The sequence below is a fragment of the Homo sapiens genome, chromosome 3, assembly GCF_000001405.40.
Source record: "Homo sapiens chromosome 3, GRCh38.p14 Primary Assembly".
Classification (NCBI taxonomy): domain Eukaryota; kingdom Metazoa; phylum Chordata; class Mammalia; order Primates; family Hominidae; genus Homo; species Homo sapiens.
The window spans coordinates 164,932,152-164,960,108 of record NC_000003.12 but is presented as its reverse complement, the minus strand read 5'-3'; positions in this window follow the sequence as shown (position 1 = coordinate 164,960,108).

The window sequence follows — 27,957 nt, the reverse complement described above, 5'->3', positions numbered from 1 at the left end:
TATGACCTTGCCTCTGAAAAAAAAAAAAAAAAAGAAAAAAAAAAAAGAAAAGAAAGATAGAAATAATAACAATAATGATAAATTTAAATGTAATAAATATTTTCTGATTATATAAATTATCTATCAAAAGATGAAAACCGATATAAAATACATGGTGTGAAGCAAGGCTGTGATTACATTATAAATCTAGCTATATCTTGAGAGGGGATGTTATAGAAATAGAAAAAAATAATTTATGAAGGGCATTTTCTTCCTGCTCCAATCCCAGTCAAGAAACATTGTTAAATGCAATTGACTTGAAACCTGGGCTTGCTATTGTGGTTAGAGTATGATAAAAACACATCATAAAAATTAATCATCTTTAGAATGTCTAGTACAATATTTTAAAGATATTAGAACCAAATTCATATGCAATTGTCTATAATTTAAATAAAATACAGTGCATTGCCATTTGCAAATCAAATAAAATAATTAGAAAAAGGAAAATATTTTAAGTCACCCAAAATTACATCACCCAGAAATAACTGTAATTTATATTTGATGAACATCATTCTGGAGATCTCAATATTTATATATAGTGAGAAACACCAAAAGCTGTTTTTGATAGAGAATTTAATTTTCAGTGCTAAGGCCAGAGAAAAATATTCCAAAAGCTTTTATACCCTTATTTCTGTTCTTCTTATATATTTTATAACTAATATTATTATATAACAATATATAGTCTTCTATTTATAGGAGTTACCACACTACAGCTTCATCTGAAATTATCATGTTATAACGATCTGGTTAGAATATTTGTTTATTTTTGGAGACAGGTTTATTTAATTCTTATCTTTCTAGAAACTGAAAATTTATAAGCCTCTTCCTGAGTTTCCAAGTTCCAAATTCTATACATACAAACTACAAATGAAAAATTTAGGTGAGCTCTTTCAGACCCACATTAATGTTATTAAAGGAGCAGACACAAATGAAGTTGAGGGAAACTGCGCTGAACTCTTGATGCTGTGTAGCAAGCTGTGATCATACCCCAAATAAATGCCTCCCCTCCATGTGACTTCCATCATGTGTATGATTAAAATTTGTGCCACCGCAAAGTTGTAAATTACAATGCCATAGACCAACCTAGTCGCTCATGAATTGTCCAAACCAAGAATGCAAATGAAAAGCTTTATGACATCTCATTTCAGATATTTATATTTGCACTTCTGACTTGAATTTCAAGGAATTCCTTTGAATTATTTAAAGAAGGCTATAACTCTTACTTTTCAGATTGCCTGAGAAAGATAAAGCTGCTCTTGCTGACTTGATAAAAATCATTTTTCTGAGCTTGCGAGACTGTTGGGCAGCTTAGATAGTTAAAAAAGGCAGCACTAACTTGTGGCTACACATATTTCACTTCTCTGAATTACTGTAGGAGTATTTCTCTTTACTAAATATTTTTTAAATTTGCATTTAAATTTTAGCACTATAAACTATCAAAAAATTGTAATTATGCTTGAGATTAGAGTCTGCTAGCTCTGAGATTAGTATCTGTATGTTTTGAATTTTTAGAAACTGTTTTGACATAGTTGCCTTACATTTTTGCTTTGCAGAAATGAGAGTTTCAGTAGTGTAAAGAATTGCAGAGCAATGATCAATTGCCAGAAGCCACACATCAGAGGGATCGGCAGTGGAGTCTTTGTTCTGTCTGGAGAAGGGCTGGCTAGACAAATACTCATGTAATTTTCTCATGTGACTTTTGTAACTGGGAAGGTGTTGATACCTTCAACTGAGATATTGAGATGATGAAGTGGGGAAATGGGGGAAATGTCATAGTATAGAAGAGAAGTTGCTGGACAGATAATTTAGCAGACAATTACTACAATTAGCAAGCTTCCTTTAATTTTTTTTCATCGATATGCAAGGAAGGAGAGGTTTAGGTAGAAGGTAATCAAGCATCTTGTCCAGTCACATAGCTAGAAGTGAAGTTAAATATTCAAACCCAGCTATTTCTGGCTTAAAAGCCAACTTTTTACCCAGGATGCTGGTTAAAATTATACTTGTTAATGAAACAACCTCTGAATAGAATATAATATTAAAAAAATGACCTAAGAATAGAACTTGGAAACTTCAATATTTAGGACTTGGGAGAATAGAAGGACCTTTCAAGATCGTTATAGTTGATATGAAGAAACAGAATCACTGTCTAAAGTCAAAGGGAGTAAACAATCACAAGTTGAAATGAGGAAAAAAAATTAGAGAGGCACAGTAAATAGAAAAGTCAAGTATTTTATCCAACTTCAATAATGAAATGATGAGGTGGAGAAGAAAGTGGACTGAAAGACAAAAGATTCAATCGAGTCTAAACTGTATCACAAGCTTCTCTGAGAATTAGCATTTTCAAACTCCACATGAGCAGTTTCCATACAAAACCATTCTGCTCATCTTTATCAAGTTCATAATAAGCGAAGAGAAATTCAAAAAATGACTTAATTTCATTAACAGTAAGAGACCTGCAAAAATGCATAAATAACTTAACTTCAAATTAGACCTATTTTATAGCTAGTCCTAATGGTTAACACCTTCTTTTACATTCTGCGCAGTTAATGTATTTCAATATAAATACAGCATTTGTAATGTAATGTTCATCTATATCAGAAGAAGAGAAAAATGTAAAGAAATTATAATGAAGGAAAAGAAAAAAAGGAACTGAAATGCCCGGAAGGAGGCTTCATTTTCTTTTTGGATTAGGATATTTGTTTTATATTAATATTGCTAATATTAATTTGTTCATGTTTATTTATATTAATATTGTGAATATTCATATATTAGCAATGTTTGAGAAAGTTGATTTTGTACTTAACACGCAAATGCTTAATAGAAATATTGAACAGAGATATTTAAGATAAAATTTCAATAGTACTGAATGAACTGCCATGTTAAAACACTAATAATTAGATTAGTCATTAATATTGAAAATGATTGAGAATCAAAATTGTTATCTTTTGGGGTGTATCTGCTATGATCAGGTTTTACAATAAAAGTAATTTCTAATTATTGCTTATGTCATTCTTATTTGCAATAACATATTATACAATGCTAAATTAGATATATAGAATTAATTTATTAAAATATTTAAGACAAAATGATCATTTTTTGTTTTTTTATTCCGTAATAAAATGTGATAGCTTTTTAACTTTTGATCCTAAAACACAAGAACAATTGTCTAGTCTAATATAGCTACAAAAATTATAAACGATGGTTAGTCAAAATACTTATCAGGAGATGATCCTGCAAAAAAATGTAAGAAATTTTATGTATAAACCTCTTTATGAAGATTAAAAATTTAATTAATACAAAATGTACTGTGAAATTCTGAAACACTGAAATCTACATAAATTAGTTTACACAGTGATTTCCAAACTTGTTTGTTTATAAAATGTATTTTCTATAACATCATCAGTGAAACTATTGTCTCAAAGAATATAATTAGTAAAGTATTGGTATCTTCTCCTTCTTAAATTTTACTTATTCTCAGATTTTAGTTGTATACATTTTTCAGGAAGCAAGGTACTCCATTTTCTGAAACATCTTATTTTATTTCCAAGATTACACAAATTATTTTCACAGTCATATATGACAAACCCTATAATTATGATTTTCTATGGCTACAATTATATCATGATTGAAATAATTATTTTACAATACAGTATAAGCATATTTTATTAAATATACTACTTTCTATTTTTAAAAATAAAAGATTAAGACTTCATATTTCTGAGTTATATAGCAAACTACTAATATATTTTGAATTAAAATCTATTATTCTTCTTTACCATTGAATATTAGATAATGCATTTCATCTGTTAGACTCAAATGATTCCCTGAGAAATAAAAACAATAATTTCACTCTGACTCTGAATGTTGTTTTGGAAATTTGTTACAATATGATATATATGAAGAGTCATATTCACTGGGCATACACATATATTTCCAATAGTGCTTCTTTTGTAACAAAGGAAGAAATCTATTTTAAAAGAGTAAACTTTTAAACATTTTCAGGATTTCTGAAAGAGAAGTTTGATTGTGCTGTCTTCTAGCTCTACCTCTAATGTGTGTTTGTTTCTAGGATAATTTAACCATGGATTATTTTCCCACCTTTTCTCTCTCCCTCTCCCTCTCTCTCTCTTCTAAGGAGCATATTTCCAAACCAGCAACCCTCAATCTGTCATTAGGAAAAGCTAATATTACTTCCATATATGACCAACGTTTTCCAAAATTTAGAAAATAATATACAAATAAATAAATGTTAATAAAAATAATTTTAAAGTATTTAAAGTACTTTATAAAATTGCACTTTTAAGTTATGTTTGTTACTAATCAAAAAAAATATTTATCAACATCATAGAGCCACATTAGTTTAGATATTCTAACAAACTGAAACATTCCTTGGGATTTGGTAATAAAATACTGGTCAATAAATATGACCATATTGTTACTGAAAACAAAATATACATGGTCTTTATATTTTATTTGTTCTATAATATAACAGCATTGTTCAGGGACAATCAGGTCTAGCTATTCTGTTCCATAGCCACATAAAGCTGTGTATTGTTTAATATTCAGAAAGTTCATGTGTTTCTGTGTGCCCATGAGCATCCCTGCTTTTGAAATTACTTACAAGTGGACCATGGGAAAAGGTCTGACCTTGTAATCTCCTCATGGGATGTCTGGGCAAGAGTATAAGATTAAATTGTATTTCTAATTTGTATATATAAATTGAAATTACAAGCAGAAATCTAACCAGGAGTTTAGAAACTGGTTATAAACACATGGAATGTGGTTGTATTCATCTCTATATACCTAGTTCCTCAAACTCTGAATTGGAGTTTGAGGAACTAGCTCTCTGAGAAATGAATGCATTGAATAGACATGATACAGTCTAAATCATGATAATAAGGAACTATATATTAGAGGACATTTACCAAATAAATGGATTTTTAATTTATCTTGGAAGCAGTAATTCACACACTCATCTATAAATATTTACAAATTCTATTCTTCACTTTTCTGCAAGTCTAAAACTGTTATTTCTAGAAGAAATATATATCATTTGTGAGGGTCCTAAAATGTTGACATTTATAAATATTTATAAATAGATTGACATAAGAAGTTTAATACTCTTACCATAATACCATAATACCATATCACTAATACCATCATACATAGTGATTATGGTTTATGTATACTGAATACAAAAGAAAAGAGAAGGAAAGATTCACATAGAATATAATAATTATTTTCTAAAGAAAAGAGAAATAAAATTGAGTATTCTGGAAGAAGGTGAACTGAAAATGTAAAGGAAATATAAAGGTTCAATCCCATATTTATTAAAAAGTGAAGTAGAAACAAGTAGTAAATAAAGACTATAATGAGGTCGAAGCAAACAGTGAATGGCACATACAAATTCATTAAACATCAACTGAATGCATCTATTAATGTATGATAGTAACTTCTGATAATTTTAGCAAAAAAAAAACTTAAAGGATATACACAAACCAAGAAATGATCAAGTACAGAACTCTCCAAGCTCAATTGTTAATTTGTATAAAATTTCCTTTTATATAAATTATGAAGCAGAAAAACAATAGACTGATTTTGAATAGTCACCAGAAAGCAATATAAAAATAATTAATACATTTCAGTTACAATTAACAAATCATAAATTGAAGATGGTGGGTAAAAACGTAGGATAAATTTGAAGATATTAAAAAATATTGTCTAGAAATTCATTTTCCAAGGAAACTCAGCATATTTCAATAAAATGCAATTGATATTCTACACAAAATAGGGCATTAAGGACAAAGCAAAACACCATATACTATCTCTCAATTAATAAATGAAACTTTTGAATTTTTCATGCAAGAGAATACTCACACAATGTTGTAGAAAGAAGAGATTGTTAAGATGTTAATCAACAGGATGACAAGTGAAAACTGAGTAGAAATTGAAGTAGGAAGAGGGCATGAAGTCACTGGGAAAGAGAAATATCCAACTGAGATCCGCTTATGGATGGCCTTAAATTTTACATAATCTTTGACATAGCAATACCACTCCTGAGAATTCATTGTGAGAATATGAAGCAAATAAAATCAATGTTAAATAAGAGTTATACACATTTTTAAAAATATAAGTAATATTTAAACATCTTGAGGCCTTAAGCGAAGAAAAACTCCAAATATTATGTATATAACAATTAAATTTCATGCATATGAAAAAATTCTGGAAGGAAAAGTTAAATATTTAACTTAACTATATATATATGCAAATTTGTTTGACAGATTGACAGATACATAAACTATTTTGATTTGTAATATATTTTGGGAGTCTAAAATTTTTATATTCAATGTATTGCATGCTCATTACAATAGAAATTGATAAAAGTAGGTACCGCTATAATTCTTTCATCTGGAGACAATCACAATTATTTTTTAATACATTTTTATTTTAATCACATTGTAGACAGATGATAGGTAAATGACATATAGATAGAATTTTTCTTTTTATATCTTGTGCACAGGAACTATGAACAACCTATTGCGTTCTGTATTTTATTTACCATATGATAATTATTTTTCAGTTTCATTAAAATTTTCATGTTTAGTGACTGCATATTATTTTTAAATTTTCCTCTTTTCATCAAGATTTAAGTTTTGTCCATTGTTTTCTTCCTTTTTATGTTGTAAAATACCCCATTTTAGCCTGAAATGTCAAGCTAATGGTTCCAGGAATCTTGCTTGAACAAATAGGTTTTTTTTCCTTAGCTCTTGGGTGAAAAGAATATATAGGCAATGAAGAGTTGGAGAAAATGGAAGATAACATGGTGTTTATATCCAATCCCAGCCATCAGGACAATAGGGCATTTGAACCAAGAAATAAATAAATAACTGGAAGAAGGTAACCATGCAATAATCCTGGAGTAGCCTGGAACAGTGGAAGCATTGAGATGAGAACAAGTGTGTGGTGTTTAGTATTGAAAAGGCCAGTGTGTTTAAGGCAAGCATAGGCCATTTCAGGTAAGGTATTTCGGGCTGTAAATATGAGAACATATTTATTCCAGCAGTAACGCAAAACAAAGGAAGGATATAATCTGATTCGTATTTAAAATAGTGTGGCTACATGTGATGATTACTTAAACATTTGGATAAATATACATAGAGGTAGAAATCTTTTGAAATTGTAATTAAAGCAGAATCACTTATTCAAAAAGAAAAAAACAACACTCAAGCATGTACAGATGTTGGAAAGGAGATATACTTCTTCCTCTAAAACAACCTGTAAATTAGTAAGTATTTTTGCCTAATAGTTCCTAATTTATCATCATGACCCACAAATATAGTTCAAAAGAAAAAGAAATAAGTAGTTTAAAATTATAGTTGAACAAAAAACATTCCTTAGCAGTTGGATAATATCTGAGTACCCTATAAAATTTATTATAATAAAAATAAGAAACAATTAGAAATACACACATAAATTAACGACTTACTTCCTAGGTGGGGAATTGAACCTTGACTACTGAGCTACAGCATGGGACTGTCTCTAGTTCCTTCCCCAGAAGGAGTCTAGAGTAGTTAATTCTGAGCTTGAAAGGCTTTCAACATTTAATATGATTTTTAGACCTAACTATGACATGAACTCTAAAATTCCTGTTCCCTGGAAGGTGGAGAAGAAGAGAAATTACCGCCACCTGGTTAAAAGGTCAAGCTCCCAAGGACATAAAACAAAGCGAAGACTTCATCCAGTTTTTTTTTTTTGTTTTGTGTCAGAGGCCTGCAGCCAAGTTTGTTACTGACCAGCTTGCTGGGTCATCTTGAAAAGCTGACTTACAGGTGTTCTAAGTCCATGTTTTATTTTACAGAAAAACGAATTCATAGCACAAAATACACCAGCGTTAAGACGAGCCTTAAATTCTTTTTCTCTTTAATCAAAACATTACAGAGGAGATAAACACTGATTTTTTCTTTCCATTCATTCAACCATTTGCAGAGAGAGAGAGAAGCCAAAGATCTGACTGGTAAGAAATTCTTACCCTTTTCCAGGCATGCCAGCGTTCTGGGTTCCCTTTCCCTGAGCGGCCCTAGTGATCTTGCTTGCGGCACCATTGCCCTGGGGGCCAAGCCACATCCTAAAGGATTTTTTGTTTGTTTGTTTTTTGTTTTGTTGTTGTTGTTCTGGCCAAAGCAAAACATGTGATAAAATATAGACATTAGCCACTCTGCTTAGCATCCAGTATCAAACTGGCAAGGCTTAAATTTGCCCTCAGATGGACCCCATCATCTTTAATCCAACCTCCAACTAGGAGTTACAACACGAGGTCTCTGGACAAGATGGTCGCCCTGAGTAATAGAAAAAGATAAGAAAGGGAAAGGAGAGAGAGAGAAAAGCACTGCTAAAACAGGTTGCAGTGAAGGAGCCAACCAAAATCCACCAAAATCAAAATGGCCACAAGAGTAACCTCTGGTCATTCTCCCGTTACACGCCCACCAGCGCCATGACAGTTTACAAATGCCATGGCAACATCAGGAAGTTACCCTATAGGGTCTAAAAAGGGGAGGCATGAACAAGGCACCGCTTGTTTAGCATATCATCAAGAAATAACCATAAAAATGGGCAACTAGCAGCCCTCGGGGCTGCTCTGTCTATGGAGTAGCCATTCTTTCATTCCTTTACTTTCCTAAACTTGCTTTCACTTTGCACTGCGGACTCGCCCTGAATTATTTCTTGTGCGAGATCCAGGAACTCTCTTGTGGGATCTGGATCGGGACCCCTGTCCTGTAACAAAATGAGGTCTTAGGGTGACCCCTAATCCATTATGACTGGTGTCTTTATAAAAGGGGGAAATTTGGATACAAGGACAGACATGCACATATCTACTACATAAAGGGAGAAAGTGATGTGAATATGATTGTAGAGATCAACGTGATGAACTTACAAACCAAAGAGTGACAAAGATAACCAGCAAAGGACAAGGATCTAGGAGACAGACATAAAGCAGATTCTTCCTCACAGCCCCAAAAGGGAACCAGTCCTATCATACTTCGATCTTGTATTTCAAATCTCCAAAAATTGTGAAACAATACGTTTCTGTTGTTCTGAGGTACCTAGTTTGTGACACTTCGTTGTAACAGTGCTTGGAAGCAAATATGATGTGTTTTTAAGAGGAAACAGTTGGGCTTTGTGACATAAATCACTGACAAATTATTTGTATGCACTCACCAGTCTTGCTATGCATATGTTCACCATTTAGATCATGCTCTTTAATTTCATTTTTAATTATTTTGGAGATATGACCTAGGGATCAGCGGCTTTTAGTAGCCGCCATAAATCAAAGAAAAGAATGTCATAAGTAAACAACAAATTAATTATGAATCTGTTTCTATATTATTGTTGTCCAGGTGTTTTATACTTTCAATATTATGCAACTATCAAAAATATTTTTTGATAGCCTACTATGCTCAGAATGGTACTAAAGCTTGAAATGATGACACTCCTTTTTCTTTTCATAGAAATGATGAGGCAGGACATAAAACCCTAACAGTTTATATGTACACAAATACCTAGCTATAACAGAGACAAATATTTACTTTCTACTCATGAAATCTCCTGTTGTCCCCACTAATTACCTATAATGTATCAGCAATTCACCTCAGAGGAGTAATCCACATCCATTTGGCTTACTTGAAAACAAAAAACAATCCTGGTAAGCAGGAACTAAATGCATTTTAATTTCCTAGAAAGCTGATCCAAAACATTTATTTTATAAATTTGATTATATTTATATGTTTTATCATGTTATAAGATAGTTTTCCATAATTTTGAATTCCATTTATTTTGTTTTACATACATTTTGCCAGTAAAAAGTAGAAATCAGGTACCCTTGACTATGGGATCCCGGGAGGCAGTGAGCAGTAAAGACAAGAAACTGAGAGGGGAGGGGAATTGGAGCGCCATGGTACAGTCAACCTGCCTATATTTGTTTCTTTCCAAAAAATTTTTTTTGTATATTCCCTGTGATTTTTTCATTGTTATTAGTTAAAACAAGAGAGTAAGAAGGGGATGCTTTTCTTATATATCCTCAAAAGTTAAAAATATAATTGTAATAAGGCTAACATGATTCTATTCTATTTTACATATAAAAATTCATGAAAAATATATAGTGATAGTTATATACAATTTTGATACAGGTAAGTACAATATTCTGATGTCATTATGTTGCTTTAAAATATTTAACAGATTATTAACTGCTTCTGCCTATATTCTATATGTTCAGCAGAACATGTAAGGCCCTTCTTAGCATGGACTACACCTCTCTATTCTTTATCCTCTCTTCCTGTTATACACACATACACACGCCCACACCCCTCCATAAACACATATTGTTGTAGCCATTTTTTATTTTTTCTCTTTTTTTGAGACGGAGTCTCGCTCTGTCACCCAGGCTGGAGTGCAGTGGCACCATCTGGGTTCACTGCAACATCTGCCTCCTGGGTTCATGCCATTTTCCTGCCTCAGCCTCCCCAGTAGCTGGGACTACAGGCGCCCACCACCACACCCGGTTGTTGTAGCCATATTTTTGAGAGAATATATTTATTTTGGAGTTTTCCAATTTATTGGCATAAGGGGTTCATAATATACTCTTATTACTTAAAAATGAGACTTTACTTTTTAGAGAAGATTTAGAGTTACAGAAAAGTACTTTAAGTGGAAAGTACTGAGTTTCCATATACTCATTTCCCTCCCCACGACTGCCCCACACTCACAACAACCATATAGTTATTATTATTATTATCATCTTGCTTAGTGCGGCACATTTGTTACAACTGATGAATCAATATTGTTACATTATTATTACCTGAAGTCATTACCCTTAGCTAACAGGGGACATTCTTTGTGTTGTACATTCTATGGGTTTTGAAAAATGTGTAATGTTATCTGTCTACTATTACAGTATCACACACAATTTCACTACCCTAAAAATCCCCTATGACCCACACCTGCTCATCTCTTCCTTCCTCTCCCCCCAAAACCCTAAGAACGATTGATATTTTTACTGCCTTTTCCGGAAGGTCAAATAATTGGAATTACATAGCGTTTAGCCTTCCCGGATTGGATTCCTTCACTTAACAATATGCACTCAAAGTTCATTCATGTCTTTTTTTATTGCTGAAAAATATTTCATTGTATGGATGTACCACAGTTTGTTTATCCATTCATCTTTATGAAAGGACATGTTGGTTGCATCTAAATTTTTGCAAGTAGGAATAAAACCACTATAAACATTGGTGTGCAGGTTTTTGCATGGACATAAGTTTTCATCTCATTCGAATAAATACCAAGGAATGTGATTTCTGGATCACATGGTAAGAGCATGTTTAGTGGTGTAAGAAAATGCCCACAGTATTCCAAAGTGATACCATTCTGCATTCCCACAAGAAATGAATAAGTTTCTGTTGTTTTACATCCTGCATTTGTTGTTGACAGTGCTTTGGATTATAGCCCTTACAATGGGTGAATAGTGGTATCTCATTGTTATTTTGATTTGCAACTCTCTAATGACATATGATGTTAGGATTTTTCTAATGCTTATTTGCAATTGGTATGTCTTCTTTGGTGAAGTGAATGTTCAGATTTTTTTCCAATGTTTAACTAAGGTTTTTTTAAGTTTAAAAAGTTATTTGTATATTTTTATACTTGTCCTTTATCAGATATGTGTTTTTCAAAGATGTTCTTTCAGTATGTGTCTTGTCTTTTCCCTCACTTAACATTGTCTTTTGCAGAGCAGTTTTAATGCTAACAAAGTCTAATTTATCACTTTTTTCTTTAATGGATCATCCTTTTGGTTTTGTATATAAACAGTCACTTCCAAAAACAATGTCACCTAGAGTTTCACCAATGTTATCTTCTAAAAGTTTTATAGTTTTGTATTTTAAATTTAGATCTGTGATTCATTTTGAGTTAATTTCTGTGAAAGATATATAAACTTGTGACTAAATTGTTTTGGTTTGTTTTCAGATTCCAGTTGTTCCAAGTTTGTTGAAAAGACTATTCTCCACTGAATTGCCTTTGCTCACATTGTCAAATATCAGCTGACTATATTTGAGTGTGTCAATTTCTTGCTGTTCTGTTCCTTTGATATATTTGCCAGTTTTTTCAGCAGTACCACACTATCTTGACTTCTGTAGATTTATAGTATATTTTGAAATTGGATTGCACCATTCCTCCAACTTTATTCTTCTCTTCAATATTGTATTGGCTATTCTAAGTCTTTTGCTTCTCCATATAAACTTTGGAATCTGTTTATAAATATATAAAGAAAAAATTGTTGGAATATTTATTGGGATTGCATTGAGTCTGTAGATCAAATTGGAAAGAAGTGACTTTTTTTTTTTTTTTTTCTCTTGAGACGGAGTCTCGCTCTGTCACCCAGGCTGGAGTGCAGTGGCGTGATCTCGGCTCACCACAAATTCCGCCTCCCGGGTTCAGGCCATTCTCCTGCCGCAGACTCCCGAGTAACTGGTACTATAGGTGCCCGCCACCACACCTGGCTAAATTTTTGTATTTTTAGTAGAGACAGAGTTTCACCATGTTAGCCAGGATGGTCTCGATCTACTGACCTCGTGATCCGCCCGCCTCGGCCTCCCATAGTGCTGGGATTACCGGCGTGAGCCACCGTGCCTGGTCAGAACTGACATTTTAACAATATTGTCTTCTTATCCATTAACACAGGATACATCTCTATTTTGTTAGACCTTTTTTTTCTTTCTTTCTTTCTTTCTTCTTTTTGAGACGGAATCTCTCTCTGTCACCGAGGCTGGAGGGCTGTGGCGCGATCTCGGCTCACTGCAAGCTCCGCCCCCTGGGTTTACGCCATTCTCCTGCCTCAGCCTCCCGAGTAGCTGGGACTACAGGCGCCCGCCACCACGCCCGGCTTTTTGTATTTTTAGTAGAGACGGGGTTTCGTCGTTTCAGCCAGGATGTTCTTGATCTTCTGACCGCATGATCCGCCCGCCTCGGCCTCCCAAAGTGCTGGAATTACAGGCATGAGCCATCGCACCCAGCCTTTTCTTTCTTGAGAGATTTATAGTTTTCTTCATATAAAATTTTATTTGCCATATATATATGTTAGTATCTCATTTTTGTGAATATAAATGGTTTATGTTTTCTGGGATTTTTGGTTGTTGTTGTTTCTTTTGGAAAAGGTCTCACTCTGTCACCCAGGCTGGAGTACAGTAAAGTGGTCATGTCTCACGACAGCCTCCACCTACTTGGCTTCGGAGATTCTCCCAGTTAGCTGGGACTAGGGGCGTGCACCACCATGCCTGGCCAATTTTTTATTTTTGGTAGAAACTGGGTTTTGCCATGTTGCCTAGGCTGTTCACGAGCTCCTGGACTCAAGCTATCCACTTACTTTGGCCTCTCAAAGTGCTGGGATTACAGGCATGAGCCACCATGCCTGGCCAGTATTATGTTTTTAATTTTACATTCCAATTGTTTATTTTTGGTATGTAAGAAGCAATTGGCCTTCGTGTATTAAACTTTTATCCTGTCGTCTTGCTATAAACACTTACTAGTTCCAGGAGACTTTTTATTGATACTTTACATATCTGATACTTTTGATATTTGATACTTTTATTTATAGACAATCACATTATTGTGAACAAAGACAGTTTTATTTCTTCCTTCTAAATCTGTATACTTTTATTTTATTTTCTTGTTTTATTGCATTAGCCAGGACTTTCTGTATGATAAATAGGAGTGGTGAAGTAGCCATCCTTGCTTTGTTTCTCACTTTAATGGGAAAACTTCATTTCTTCACCATTAAGTATGATGTTATATGCAAGTATTTTTCTTCTTTTTTTTTCCTTTACCTGTGCTTTATCAAGTAAGAAGTGGTCCCCACTATAACTAGTTTTCTTTAAAGTTTTTTTTTAATCATGAATAGGTGTTTGATTACATAATTCTTATCTACAAATTCACCTTAAAATATAAAACTGAATTATCTCTAAGTAAGCTTATATTTAGTTTTGAGCCATTACTTTGGCTGAGTTCAAAACACTATTCCCAACAATTTCAGTTTCTGTCCTCTCCAAAGCTGGATCTATGTTTGCAAGACTGTCATGGTATGAAGGCATTTGTAAGTGGATCTGTCTGGTAATAGATGTCATCTGTCCCTTTAGCCATCAGCTCAATCAGCCACCTTTCCTTGGTCTTGGTTGAAGAGAGTATCCCCGTAGGTGCTTTTTATTCCTCTCATTTGGTTTGTTGAGATCTGTTTAGTCTCTATGATAGTTTGCTATGTTTAAAAACATAGGAGTCATTCTGCTTCTTCATTTCATACTAGGACATGGAAAATGTCTGTAAGGTTTTCTTTGGATACATTCCAAATACAATAAACTGTTTTGCTTCTTGAGGTCTATTTGAGGATCTGTTGGGCAGGCCATCAAATTGGAAATTGGGAAAGGATTTCTATGTTACAGTCTTAAGGCAGAATGTCTTCGTCTCCAATTGATATGGTTTGGCTTTGTTCCCACCCAAATCTCATCTTGAATTCTCATGTGTTGTGGGAGGGACCCGGTGGGAGGTAATTGAATCATGGGGGCAGGTCTTTCCTGTGCTGTTCTCATGATAGTGAGTAAATCTCATGAGACCTGATGGTTAGTATAAGGGGGAGTTTTCCTATCTAAGCTCTCTTTCCCTGCTGCCATCCATGTAAGATGTGACTTGCTCCTCCTCACCTTCCGCCATGATTCTGAGGCTTCCCCAGCCACGTGAAAGTGTGAGTTCTCCATTAAGCCTCTTTCCTTTGTAAATTGCCCAGTCTTGAGTATGTCTTTATCAGCAGTGTGAAAATGGGCCCATACGCCAATACACTTCAAATTTAGCTCTTAACACCTTTCAATTATTGGATGAGGACCATTCACATTATTAAGAGTAGTCTTATTTACTGAATGTCAATTCATTGTTAATCACATCTACAAAATACCTTCACAGCAACAATATAGACTAGTGTTTTGCTAAACAACTGAGTACCATAGCCTAGCCAAGCTGACACATAAATTTAACTATCAGTCCTTAAAATTTCTTATAAAACTCCCTGCAATATTTTTCAATATAACATTTTCTTTCTTAACTTAAAAAATGAAATGTATTTTAAATTGAAATATGCTACTTTATAGAACTGACAAAATCCTGTAATACCATTATTCTTTCTGCCTAAAATACCCTTCATCTTTTTTAATCTTTTCATTTTAAAGAAATTATTTTTAAAATTTATAATTGAAACATAATAATTGTACATTTTTATGGGTTACATAATGATGTGGCCATAAATATAATGCATTTGTTAAAGGATACAAAATTATAGCTAGGTAGGAGGAATAAGTTCTAATGTTCTATAGCACTGTAGGATGACTACAGTTAACAATAACAGTTTCAGATAGCTAGAAGGAGAGTCTTGAATGTTCTCAACACAAATAAATGAGAAATGTTTGAGAGGATGCATAGGTTCAATATCCTGATCTAGTCACTATACACATTATTTTCTAAATTTGAAACTGTTGATTCAGTTTTTGACTTTTTTCTGAAGAGAATCGTATTTTTAATTTATAAAATACTCTTGTTACAGGTTCTAAGAAACTTGGTAAACTCAAGGCCAATTCTGAGGATATAATTAATTCTTTTTTTTTTTGTATTGAATTCATAAATATTTTAGCTCAAATATTTCCTCCGGTACTTCTTTTTGCCCACACTCAGAGTGCCTTTCTTTCATATGTATGTTTTTACAAGACCAAATTTTTCAAGTAAGATTCTTAATTAATTATTCCTTTGAATGTTTGCCAAATTTAATTCTGCAAAATTATATAATTTTTCAGTGACTAAGCATTTTGAATCATTTTTATTTAAGAAATATATTTCATAACAATAAAATAAAACACTGTAGATAATAAAACATTATATAAAAAATAGACTATAATCTCTGTAGCTAAACCTGAGCCTTCGTTTCTATGACATATTTTATGTACTTCTGAAGTACATAAAGTAATTTCTCAATGTTATCTGGAGTTTTGTGTATTTTGTATGGCATAATATAGGCCACAGCATAAACTTCTATCACAGGAAGTTACTGGCAAGGGCAGCAGTATGGAATGCTCTTTACTTTAACACCTGAGACCAGAAGAGCTGGCTATCTCTAATGTAAGCATTTGCATCTGTGGACAATTCACTTTATCAGCAAGTACCTACTCGGTCTTTGAAAGTGCAACTTTTTCATTACTTTGTGTCTGTAAAACAAAGAAAAATTGATACAAGTTACAGTGGCTATCTTTCATATTAAAGCAGATATTAATGTGCAAATGCTGGTCACTGTACTCACACTCTGAATTGAAAACAAAAATTGGAAGCACAAAGTGGAGGTCTACAAAATTCTTTCTAGTATTTGTTAATGTACCTTTTAGTAATATAGTTTTATTAAATACATGGAAAATATTGGGACAAACACTAAGTGGGATGAGATGCTAAAACAACAATTTTTACCTTGAATTTTCCCAGGCAAACCAGAAACTAAGTTTACTCTAAATATAGGTGTAAGCTAGGTGCAGTGGCTTACGCCTATAATCCCAGCACTTTGGGAGGCTGAGGCAGGTGGATCATGAGGTCAGGAGATCGAGACCATCCTGGCTAACATGGTGAAACCCCGTCTCTACTAAAAATACAAAAAAAAAGCTGGGTGTGGTGGCTGGCGCCTGTAGTCCCAGCTACTCGGGAGGCTGAGGCAGCAGAATGGTGTTAACCCAGGAGGTGGAGCTTGCAGTGAGCTGAGATTGCGCCACTGCACTCCAGCCTGGGCGACAGAGGAAGACTCTGTCTCAAAAAAAAAAAAGTGTAGGTGTAAATCAGCATAGTGTATTGATTATGACTTTTTGGTTAAGTGACAAAACACAATCCAAGCTTCCTTATGCCTGTAATAATACATATGAATTAATCCGTTCCCATAACAGAAACATATAGAAAAAGATCTAAAGACTCAAGAAATGCATTCAATTCTTTATTTTTTTCTGCTTTTAATTTCCATTTTGCATTCCTGTTTTTCTCAGGTTTATTTCAGTGAGTTTTTCTCTGCATGACAGTAAAAAGATGTCATCAGTATCTTAACTTTTTTTTATACTTTTAGTTAAGAATCTCACAAAAAAACAGAAAACAGAAAAACAGAATATGTTTTTTATGGCAGAATATGATTTTATTTTATTAAAGAATTTTGGGAGATGAATGATGTACTCAATTTAAATCAGTTTACCATCCTTGAACAAATCAGTGTGATCAAGTAGATAGGACTTACTGAATAACTAGTTTGTTAAGTACCTAGACCAGTTTTGGGAAACCAGCACCATGTAATTGGTAGCCCAAATGGGTAGAAAAATAAAGTTCCCCAATGGAGGGGATGTTGGAGAGACCAAAAAAAAAAAAAAAAGCCAGATATTCACTATAGTGTAGTGGGGTGGAAAGGGGGGTGACTAGAAATTGGCCTCATTGGAGTGGAGAGTACATATTATACAAGTGGAGAGATGATTTTTAGATGAGGTGGGAAAGTATTAAGAATGGCTTTGAAATCCAAATTTAGATTAATAACAAGGAATATTCGCACCACTGCACTCCAGTCTGGGCAACGGAGTGAGACTCCGCCTCAAAAATAAATAAATAAATAAATAAAATAAAATAAAACAGGGAATACTAGCATTAAAAAGAAGAAAAAAATAATAATACTTTATAGACTTTTTTTTGGCAAAAAAAAAAAAATTATTTTTTCTGTACCAAAGAGTAATTAATACCGTGGTGACAGTTAAACAATGTTTTGTGTGATTCATATTCTAGGTCTGCCTATGAATTAAGGCAAGACAGTAGCAGGATAAATAAGTTATTTTAAGTTTCTTGATTCACTCTGGTTTAGTCTAATTTATGCTGCTATAGCAGAATACTTGTGAGAGCAATTTGTAAATAACAGAAATGCATTAGCTCACAGTTCTGGGGACTGGGAAATCCGAGGTCAAGGTACCACAGGTGTGGTGTCTGGTGAGGCCATTCTCTTTTTTCAAGATGGAACCTTGTGCTCTGCATTCCCTGGAGAGAAAGAAAGCTGGATGCTTATATGGCAAAAGGCAGAAGGGCCAAGAGAGAGCAAGAGGGGATTAAGCACAGTCTTTAATATAGCACCAATCCCACCCACGAGGGTGAAACTGTCATGACCTAATCACCTATTAAAGGTTCCACCTCCTAATTCGTTACAATGGCAATTAAATTTCAGCATGAGTTTTGGAGGAAACAAACATTCGAATTACAGAACTTTATTTTTTAACTAAGTATTTTTTTAACAAATTATGTTCATATATAATTATTGGGTATACCGTGATGTTATAATATGTCTACAGTGTGGAATGAATAAATCAAGAAAATTTGCATATCTAGCACCTTAAATACATATCATTTATTTCTTCTATATAACTGTAGTTTATGTATATACCTTATAGCATTTTAAGGATTTAGCAAGTTCAAACACTAAGAAATTAGGGGAGTGGTTATATATTTACTCAGTGTTCATGTAAAATGGGAAACATTGAGCTATGCAATATTCATACCTTGAAATCAGCTTTTATGTCTTCTTACTACTTGTAAATTTTGAAGACAAAAGGATTTATTTATATATTCATTTATTTCACTCTTTTGTTTAGTATGCTAATTACTTTTGAGGACATTCAGAAATGACCTTAACAATAGCAAGTAATTAGAAAGACAACAATACATTTGGTGAGAAAGGGTATAGAATGAACTATGACAGATATACACATTCATGGCAAAAAGGACAAGGTCATAGCAGTGAAAATCAAATACAATCCACAAATGGAATCTTCTTCAAAAAATAAAGCAGTAAAACAGAACTTTTGTAGAGAGTAGTAATTATCTACAGCACTTAAGGATAGGGAACAGATAATGTTTGAGGAAGATAAGTAGTAGAATGCTTTGATAAAGAATGAAGAATTAAAAAGTTTGAGGTATTTAAGTATTGCTGAAAAGGTATTTAAGTATTGCTTAAAAGGTTAAAAAAAGTGATTCATGAGGTGAGTCACAGATTTAAGCCTGGTTCAGTAATTCACAGTGTGATGTGGAGCAAATATTTCACCTCTTAATTGAACTCTGACAAAAAAAGTGGGAACGTGAAATGGTTCTTTAGGCCACACAGTTAAAATTATATTGTGATGAAATCTAGGTTCATGGTTAAAAAAAAAAAAGAAGTCAAACATGAGGAAAGTTGATGATTGGAATGAACATAAATGGAACCAAAGGATAATCCATTAGATGTGGAATACTACTGTCAAAATTTAGTAAGCTAAAGTCAATTCTGGAGATCTCAAGTCATGTTACATAAATTTTCATGTATTACATCCATTATTATTTAGGTATTAAAATAATATGATTGCTGACCCTTCAGGATATTTTTGGTTTAAAAGGAACACAAATTATTTTAAGAATTAGGGGGTTTTCATTCAGTCATCCAAATAATTATTTGAATTTATGAAAAAAATAGTTAAAGAATTCAGGAGAAATTGTTTTTAGAAAAGGGGATTATCTCTACCATTTAGAATAACATTATTTTCTAGAAGCTTATGATCAAATTAACATTTTTAAAGTACATATGTGGGTAATTCTAGACATTCTACAAGTGAATTATTTATGGCTTATTTCTACCTCTACTCTGCCAGATTCACCACTAATAACTTCCTTGCTCCACCAGATAAATATATTTACCTTATTTTCTTGTCATTATCATCAGGGTATGCACACAAAAAATAATAATTGTTTTTCCTAGAATACCAAGTTATGTGTAATATTTCTTTAATTGCCTAATATTTTTATTTAGGAGAGCTATATACTTATTCCATTTAACATGGACATTTGAGAGTGCACTACCTGGATCAAGTGTGTAAAATGCCAAATTTTAAAAAATCATTTTTTCTCTGTTATCAGAATAAGCAACTGGAGAATCTCATTCTATTAACATCTTTGAATGTCTTAAATTACCGATTGTATTGAAATTCAGAAGCATAGCTATTATGGTAGAATGGTTATTAATGATGTCTGGAGAAATGTGTTCTCAGAGTGTGCTAGTATTCTCTACCTGATTTGATAAAGTTATTGCTTCTTATGTGCTCTCATTGTTCTTAGTAGAGAAAGGAAGATATATTCAATATAAAAACAGAAACAGAGAAAAAGAAAAAAAGCAAATAAAAGTGAACGGGATGGGCAATGACAAAGGTATAAAGAAAGAAAATTATCCAATGATAGGTAGTGACAATAAATCTGAGGCATTAAAATTTCCTCCTCTTCTTTTAAAAGGAAGCACTCTGACTCCTTCTTGTTTATAAGGAATTTGTGTGGAAAATAGTAAGTCAATGTTAGTAAAATGCAGTTATTGAGAGTCTTCAAAAAACCCATATAAGACAACTAAAAAAGGATCTAAATGGAGCATCTAAAATAGCTTAAACAGAGGAATTAAATGCATTTAATTTTCTTCGCTCTAATCCAAAAGAGGAAAGAAGTTAAAAATATATAAGCACATGACAATAAGCAGAACAGAAGAGATAACATTATATGAGAGGTATAAACATAATTTTGGAAGATATGTTGTAATAAACAAACCATTACTAATAGTAAAATGGAGACAGCGTAATGCAATTATTGAATACTAGAATAGAATTTCAACAATGGAGACTAAAAAACAATGCAGCAATGCATTCAAAATTCTGAGAGAAAATGATTTTATAGAATTTAAGTGCAGCCAAAACAAAATTAGCGCAGAAAAAATAAATTTTCTGACCCATAAGGACTCAAAACCTTACTTACAGTATTAGTTTACTAGGCTGTTTAAAGAATTACTACACATTTAGCAGCTTACAACAATACACGTTCTTTATCTCACAGTTTCTGTGGGTCTCAAGTCCAGGCACAGTTGAGCTACACCGTCTTCTCAGGGGCTCACAAATTTCCAATTAAGTGACTAACAAGAGCTTGGTTCTTATTTGTTAGCTCAGCTAGGGAAAGATCCATTTCCCCAGTCATGTGGTTGTTGGCAGCATTTGGTCCCTGTAGTTGTAGGATTAAAAACTTCAGGGTTTTTTGGGTGTTTTTGTTTTTGATTTTGTTTTTATTTTTTTCTGGCTGTCTTCCAGAGACTGACCTCACCTCTTAGAAGCTGCCAACAGTTCCTGGCCGTGTGGGCCTCACCAACATGGCTGCTTACTTCATCAATCCAACAAGGAAAGGGAGATACTCCAGCAAGACTGGTGCTTCAGTTTTAGGTAATAATGTAATACTATCCTATATCTTTTGTGTATTACATTGGTTAAAAGCAAGTCACAGGTACTGCACACATTCAAGGGAACCTTGAACAAAGGCATAAATATCATGGGATGAAAATCATGTGGGACCATTCTAAAGTATGTTCAACACACTTACCATGGCCCTTTTCCAAGAAATGGAGAGTGTGCTCCACAAAGCAAGAGAATAAAGAGGAACATATCTCATTGTGCAAACAAGAAAGATGACACAGGGAATAGGCAAAAGGAGTTCCCAGTATGCCTAGCACAACAACTGTACATCTGGTTTACTGAAAGATCAGATTTTAATATGGAGCAAAGATGGAGAGCATCAGGATATTGTAAATAATAATAGTAATGAGGGATTATCTAATACATTCAACCATGTTAATAACGTCTTATTGAATGGGTGTTTTAATTCTTTTGTAGAGTTTGGGAAGAATTCATGATAAGCACCTAAGAAATTTAGGAGAAAAAAAGGAATTCTTGACTCCAGAATAAATAAGAATATGTTATATTCCAGGAAAAAAATATTAAAATAAAAAGGAAATTTAAATCATATGGAATTTCAGTTTTAGCGATAAGTTGTATTTGGTCCTTCAACAAAACATTGTTGAATATTATTTTTTAGATATTTCTTAAACAGAACAGGGAAGGAGACAAATCCCTGTCCTTAATGGAACTTACATTATTAAGAAGGAATGATAGAAAATAAATAAATATAAATTAAATATAAAAATTAATATACAATGCAACCTCAAGTATTAATGGGTGTTAAGGAAATTAAGCAGGATAAGAAGGTAAAATAACACAATGGACATGAAATGGGAAGGGCTAATATTGAGATAATCCAAAATGTATAATTAAGTAGGTGGAGATAGGAAAGTGAGGTAACACAATAAGGTAAAATCTCACATCTTCCCTAATAAAGAAGTTATAAAATTAATTAAAATTGTTAAAAAATAAATCCACTATCCAAATATGTGTTATTGTTCTTTTTTGGAACATTTTAAGGCCAATTAGACAAAACTAGTCCAATCACTTTCAGCTACTCACACTGTTTTCAGATGAGAAAGCACATGGGCAGCTTGTGAGAGCGAATAGGGTCTATTCCTTACTGGGGTTACAGGAAGAAAATATGAATAAATATATGGGATTTAAGATTAATACCTTTCACTTGGAAGTAGACACCATAATAATTAATTAATTAATTAATTAAAAATTATCTCTATGTTCATTGCTCTTAATACGTAGCACACACTATCAAAAATTCACTAGGAAAGCCAAACTACTTAGAAAAATAATATTTGGAATTGATTAAGGATGAAGTTAGGACAAAAACTATATGTATTATTGAAACACAGTTTATTTAAAAATATACTGAAACACATAGATATGACAAATTTTGAATATGAGACTGACTTGTGGAGTTTTTTTAATGCCCCAGTGTTACTAGGGAGACAATATATGATGAAATCTTGAGTCTGAATCTAAACTATCTTTAGCAGTTAAACAGAGTGAGGAGACAAAATGTCTTAAGCAAGATAAATAGTTCACTGACCAAATGGCTAAAGAAAGTTTATCCTCGTTCTTTGACTAGTAAAGGTCAAGTGCAGGCAGTTAAAAGTGATAGGATAGAAACCAACATTTTCATTTACCCATCATAAGAAAATTGGTTGGCTATTGAATGATAGAGGGTATTTTATTCTATCAATAAAAAGGAATCTTTCCTGAATTGGGGAATTGAAATTCAAGGCATTATGAAAGCAAGTCTCTGTTATTAAAATGACTTAAAAATAAGTTATTCAATTAATTCATATTTCTCTTTTAACTCAAAGTCTATTGTGATTATAAAGTAGATATTCCAGACATTGCACATCAAAGATTTTGTATCTTTTGAAGCCTTATAAAACCTCTTCTCAGCTCTATCCAAATGCTTGTGGTACCTAGTATGATAAGATAGAAGTGCTTCCTTCAAGGAGCTTGCAGTCTAGTGGCTACATAATTAAGGGAAACAATGACTGCAGTACAATCTTGTAGGTCTGCAAAAATGTCTGATGAATAGGGTGTTATGGGAAACAGACAAGTTAGTATAGGTCATTTCCTTACCTCTCAGAATAGCTTTTCTAAAATGTGCCTTGATGCATACTATGAGCCTACACAGAGTCCAATTATTATGTTTTAAGCCCTACGTTAAAGTTAAGAAGACGTTAAGGAGAGATTTTTTTCACTGTATCATATTATGCCTTTTATGTGGATCACTGGGTGTCTTCTTTTTCCTGTGTATGCAATTATTCTGCGTAGTTAATATATTTTAATCTCAGTAAGAATTAAATTTATATTTATGCAAAATTATCCCTCTTCAAGTTGTTGAAAGTTACCAAATATATACCTAATAAAAGGTATAGGCATTGAACAGCATATATTTTAGGCTTATATCTGATTCTACTTTGTCCCCACCCTTGTATTTCCTTCTTTATTGCAATCTGTATGTTATTTTATGCATTTTGTGTTTATACGTCTACATTGTAGTTCATATGTCTACACTGAACTAATACGTAAAATAAAGCTACAAAGTTATCAAGACGTTAATTAACATTCAACCAAACATGTGAATGTGCATAATAAGAATGAAGAAGGCATATAGGTGATTGGCAGAAGGCATAGCTAGAAAGTTAGATTTTTAAGGGTTTTGTACATTTAAGTATGAACTTTGTGCTTTATCCTGCAAACATGGAGTACTTCTAAATACTTTTTACCAAAAGAGTTAATAGTATTTGTGTTTGAGAAAGTAGGTCCTGCATAAATACAAGATTTGTACTGGGTTTTGAAGGACAATACAACTGGCTCTCTTAGTAGCCTTGAGTAAGAAATGTACCTTAAGATGAGAAATCTGTAATGATTTAGTACTAGGCACATGGGGAGGACACATTCTATGTCAATTCAGTGAATTGGTTAATTATTTAATGCAGAAGACCTTTCATGATGCAATCATGCTTCTGTGTCAACATAGTAGTCACTAGTTAAGATGGTAGGTTTCTATATATGTAGAAACTTTAAGTTCAAACGTTGGCAGTGCCTGTGTTCTTTTAGCTATTCACATTTAACTGCATGCTAATTCACAATTACAAGATTTTATATGTTCTCTGTAAAGATCTTGAAAGAGAGATTTTGAAAGGAAAATAGAGCTGTCTGTTCTCAGTCAACAAACACTAATTCTCATTCTGTAGAAGAATGTCAGAACTATGTTGCTTGAGACAATACAGTAAAAAAAAATGTATCAAGTTATTTAAACCCTTCTTTCATGGTTGAGATTCCAAATAAAGATTACTTTATTTTCTTCCATCCATTGAAAAGAGAATTGGAGTTTACTACTTAATTTAGTTTTCAAAGTTGTTTATTTTTTAGTAAAATTTTCTTTTTTCTTTTTTTTTGAAGAGGAGTCTCAGTCTGTCACCCAGGCTAGAATGGGCTCACTGCAGCCTCCACCTCCAGGGTTCAAGTGATTCTCCTGTCTCAGCTTCCCAACTAGCTGGGATTACAGGCGCCCGTCACCATGCCCGGCTAATTTTTGTATTTTTTAGTAGAGACATAGTTTCACCATGTTGGCCAGGTTGGTCTCAAACTCCTGAACTCAAGTGATCTGCTCACATCGACCTCCCAAAGGGCTGGAATTGAAGGTGTGAGCCACTGCACCTGGCTCTTGTTTTTTTCTTAAAGACATTTCTTTCTAAATTGAATTTATTTATTCATTTATGATCCCAAAATAAAATTTAAGAAATTATTTTTTTTGTTGTTTATTAAAAGGAAAGCAGGTAAAGGCACCTTCTATTTTATAATCACAGTTGTTAAGAATGAGCAAGGCTTTCTAGATTGATTTATTCATGGCATCCTTATTTCTTGCCATGACAAATTCTAATCTTCATGATGAGAATGTTTACATTTTTTACTTAGAGATTTGATAACAAAGCAATAAAACTGTCCACTGCTAATATTCACAATTATTTGCTTGATCCTCATTTTGACAGCCTTGACTTAGTTCAGAGGGACAACTTATTGTAAAAAACTGACTCTGCGAAGTTTCTTTTATTTTGTTCTTTTGATGTTCTAATAACACTTTGTATCTGCATTCCTTAACTCATGTTAATGAACAAATGGAAGTTTTGGCCTATTTACTTGGCATGATTCAAATCTTATTTGTTAACTTACATTAGTGTGTTAATTTAATAGAGCAGTAACAATAATCTGCCCTTTTCAACATGTAAAACCAGTTTAAAAAATGATTTTCAAGCAAAATATATTTTTCTAAATATTTTCTAAAACAATTAGGACATAATACTCATTTTTTGTTAAATGTATGTATTACCTTCACCCATTCACTGAGTGCCTGTTTTGTAATAAATGTAAAAAATAAAATATAAGAGAAATTAAATTGAATGAATATCATAAAGAAAGTTATACTTAAATGAAACATTTTACTGCAAATAAACTCACACTAATTGGTATAGTAGTTCTCAACTGAGTAAAATTTGACTTTCAAGCAACATTTTAGTGCTAAAGTTGAGAAACCCTAGTGTAGTACGATGTAATTTACCTTAACATTTTACGTAAGACTAATAAATAACCAAGTCATTGCTATTTCCACTGCCCAAAAGATTCTTTTCAAATCAACAATTTCAAATACACAGATAAACTTCTCAGAAGATATTCCTCCACATTTAAATTAATTACAATTAAAACTTCAGTATTTACTTAACTCTGGGTATAGTTTCATAGCAACTGCTTATTTTCTGTAAATGTTTGTTAACATCTCTCTTAATGGGCAAGAGAATAATTTGGTAAATTTTTTTTTTCTTAAATTCCAGTAGTCATTACTATGAACATAAGTTAAGGCACAAAACTTTAGGACTTCAGCCTTTCATCTTTTCCATAAACTGAAAAGGATCCAATATTGCTTTGAGAAAAAATCTTAGCTCTGCACCATGAAAGACTGCACTCAGTTTTGAGTTAATGTAGGATAGGCTTAGATTTAGGTACCTCAGTTTTCATAAAAAATTGTCATTCCTAAGTCTAGCTTACTTAAGGCTTGAAAACACAACTTGCAGTACAGGATCAACAACATATCTGTCTTCAGATGAGGAAAATACTACTTAGGAACATGCTAGAAACATGTGCAATCTCTTTATTCATCTGTACTCTAAAGTTGAATTAGGCCATTCCAGGAAAACCTCCATACCTGGGACTACATTATGGCTACCAGCAGAATAGATTTTTTCTAAACTGTACTTTGATATGATATCATCAACCCAAACAGAGCTATGAAATAGTCCTATGAACCTCCTTGTTTTAATTCTCAGGTTTGAAAACATTTTTCACAATGTCCTCTTTTTCAAAGTTCACAGGGGCAAAAATAAAAAGAAAGAAAAGTCTTTAGTTTTTGTTCCAGGACTAGCTATGGTACTCCTGGGACACAAATATTGTGGAAATTGTTGATTGTGCAAATGTATATGGTTGTCAGAAAGCACAGAATTGAACTTGAAGACCACCATAGCATACAGGACTTTTTAATAAGCTTTCTTCAATCTTTTCTCCTATTTACTGCCTTTATATTCTCCTTGCTACTGTATCCTAATTTAAATATTACCAGTTTTGACTGTGTTTAGCTTAAATATATATTTGTGGTTATCATTTTTGTATTTTTCAGACTGAAAATGACGTTTTGATGCTTATTATAGTACTCAAGTGAAATTTTAAGTAGCCCCAGTCTTCTTTACATAGAATAGAGACCTTATCCCAAGTCTCTCTTTGATGACTTTATATCATACCATGATTCTGCAGAGATGGCTTGCCATGTGGAGTTGTTATGTTTATCACAGTAAATTGTCTCCTAGAAACCGAGACGCTTCTGTATAGATATACTGAAGAAATAGTCAATGGATTTTATGTGTTTAGGCAGTAAATCGGCTAAGCTATCCATGTGGTCATTACTTTTTTTTCTATTTCAAATATATGGGCTAAAATAAAACATATGGAGCAGAAAAAATTTCAGAGAGGATCATTCACCATTTTTTTGTGGGATAATCACAGAACTAAAAAAAAAAAAGAAAATGGAAATGGGAATGACATTTTTATAGCTTATATAAGTTCCAGTTTTTAGATGCAATTATCCTTTATGTATTGTGATAGGGTGGTGGGGCCTAAGGGAATACCCTGGGCCACTGGGTTAGTAGAGAATCTCTTTGGGTTCTGAAAGTATTATTCTCCTGAGTGTAACACTCTGATCTCTCTCTCTCTCTCTCTCTCTCTCTCTCTCTGTCTTTCTTTCTTTTTATTTATTTTTTGATGGAGTCTCGCTCTGTCGCCGAGGCTGGAGTGCAGTGGTGTGACCTCAGCTCACTGCAACCCTCTGCCTCCTGGGTACAAGCAATTCTCTGCCTCAGCTTCCCGAGTAGCTGGGATTACATGTGCCCGTCACCAGGCCCAGATATGTTTTGTATTTTTAGTAGAGACAGGGTTTCACCATCTTGGCCAGGCTGGTCTTGAACTCCTGACC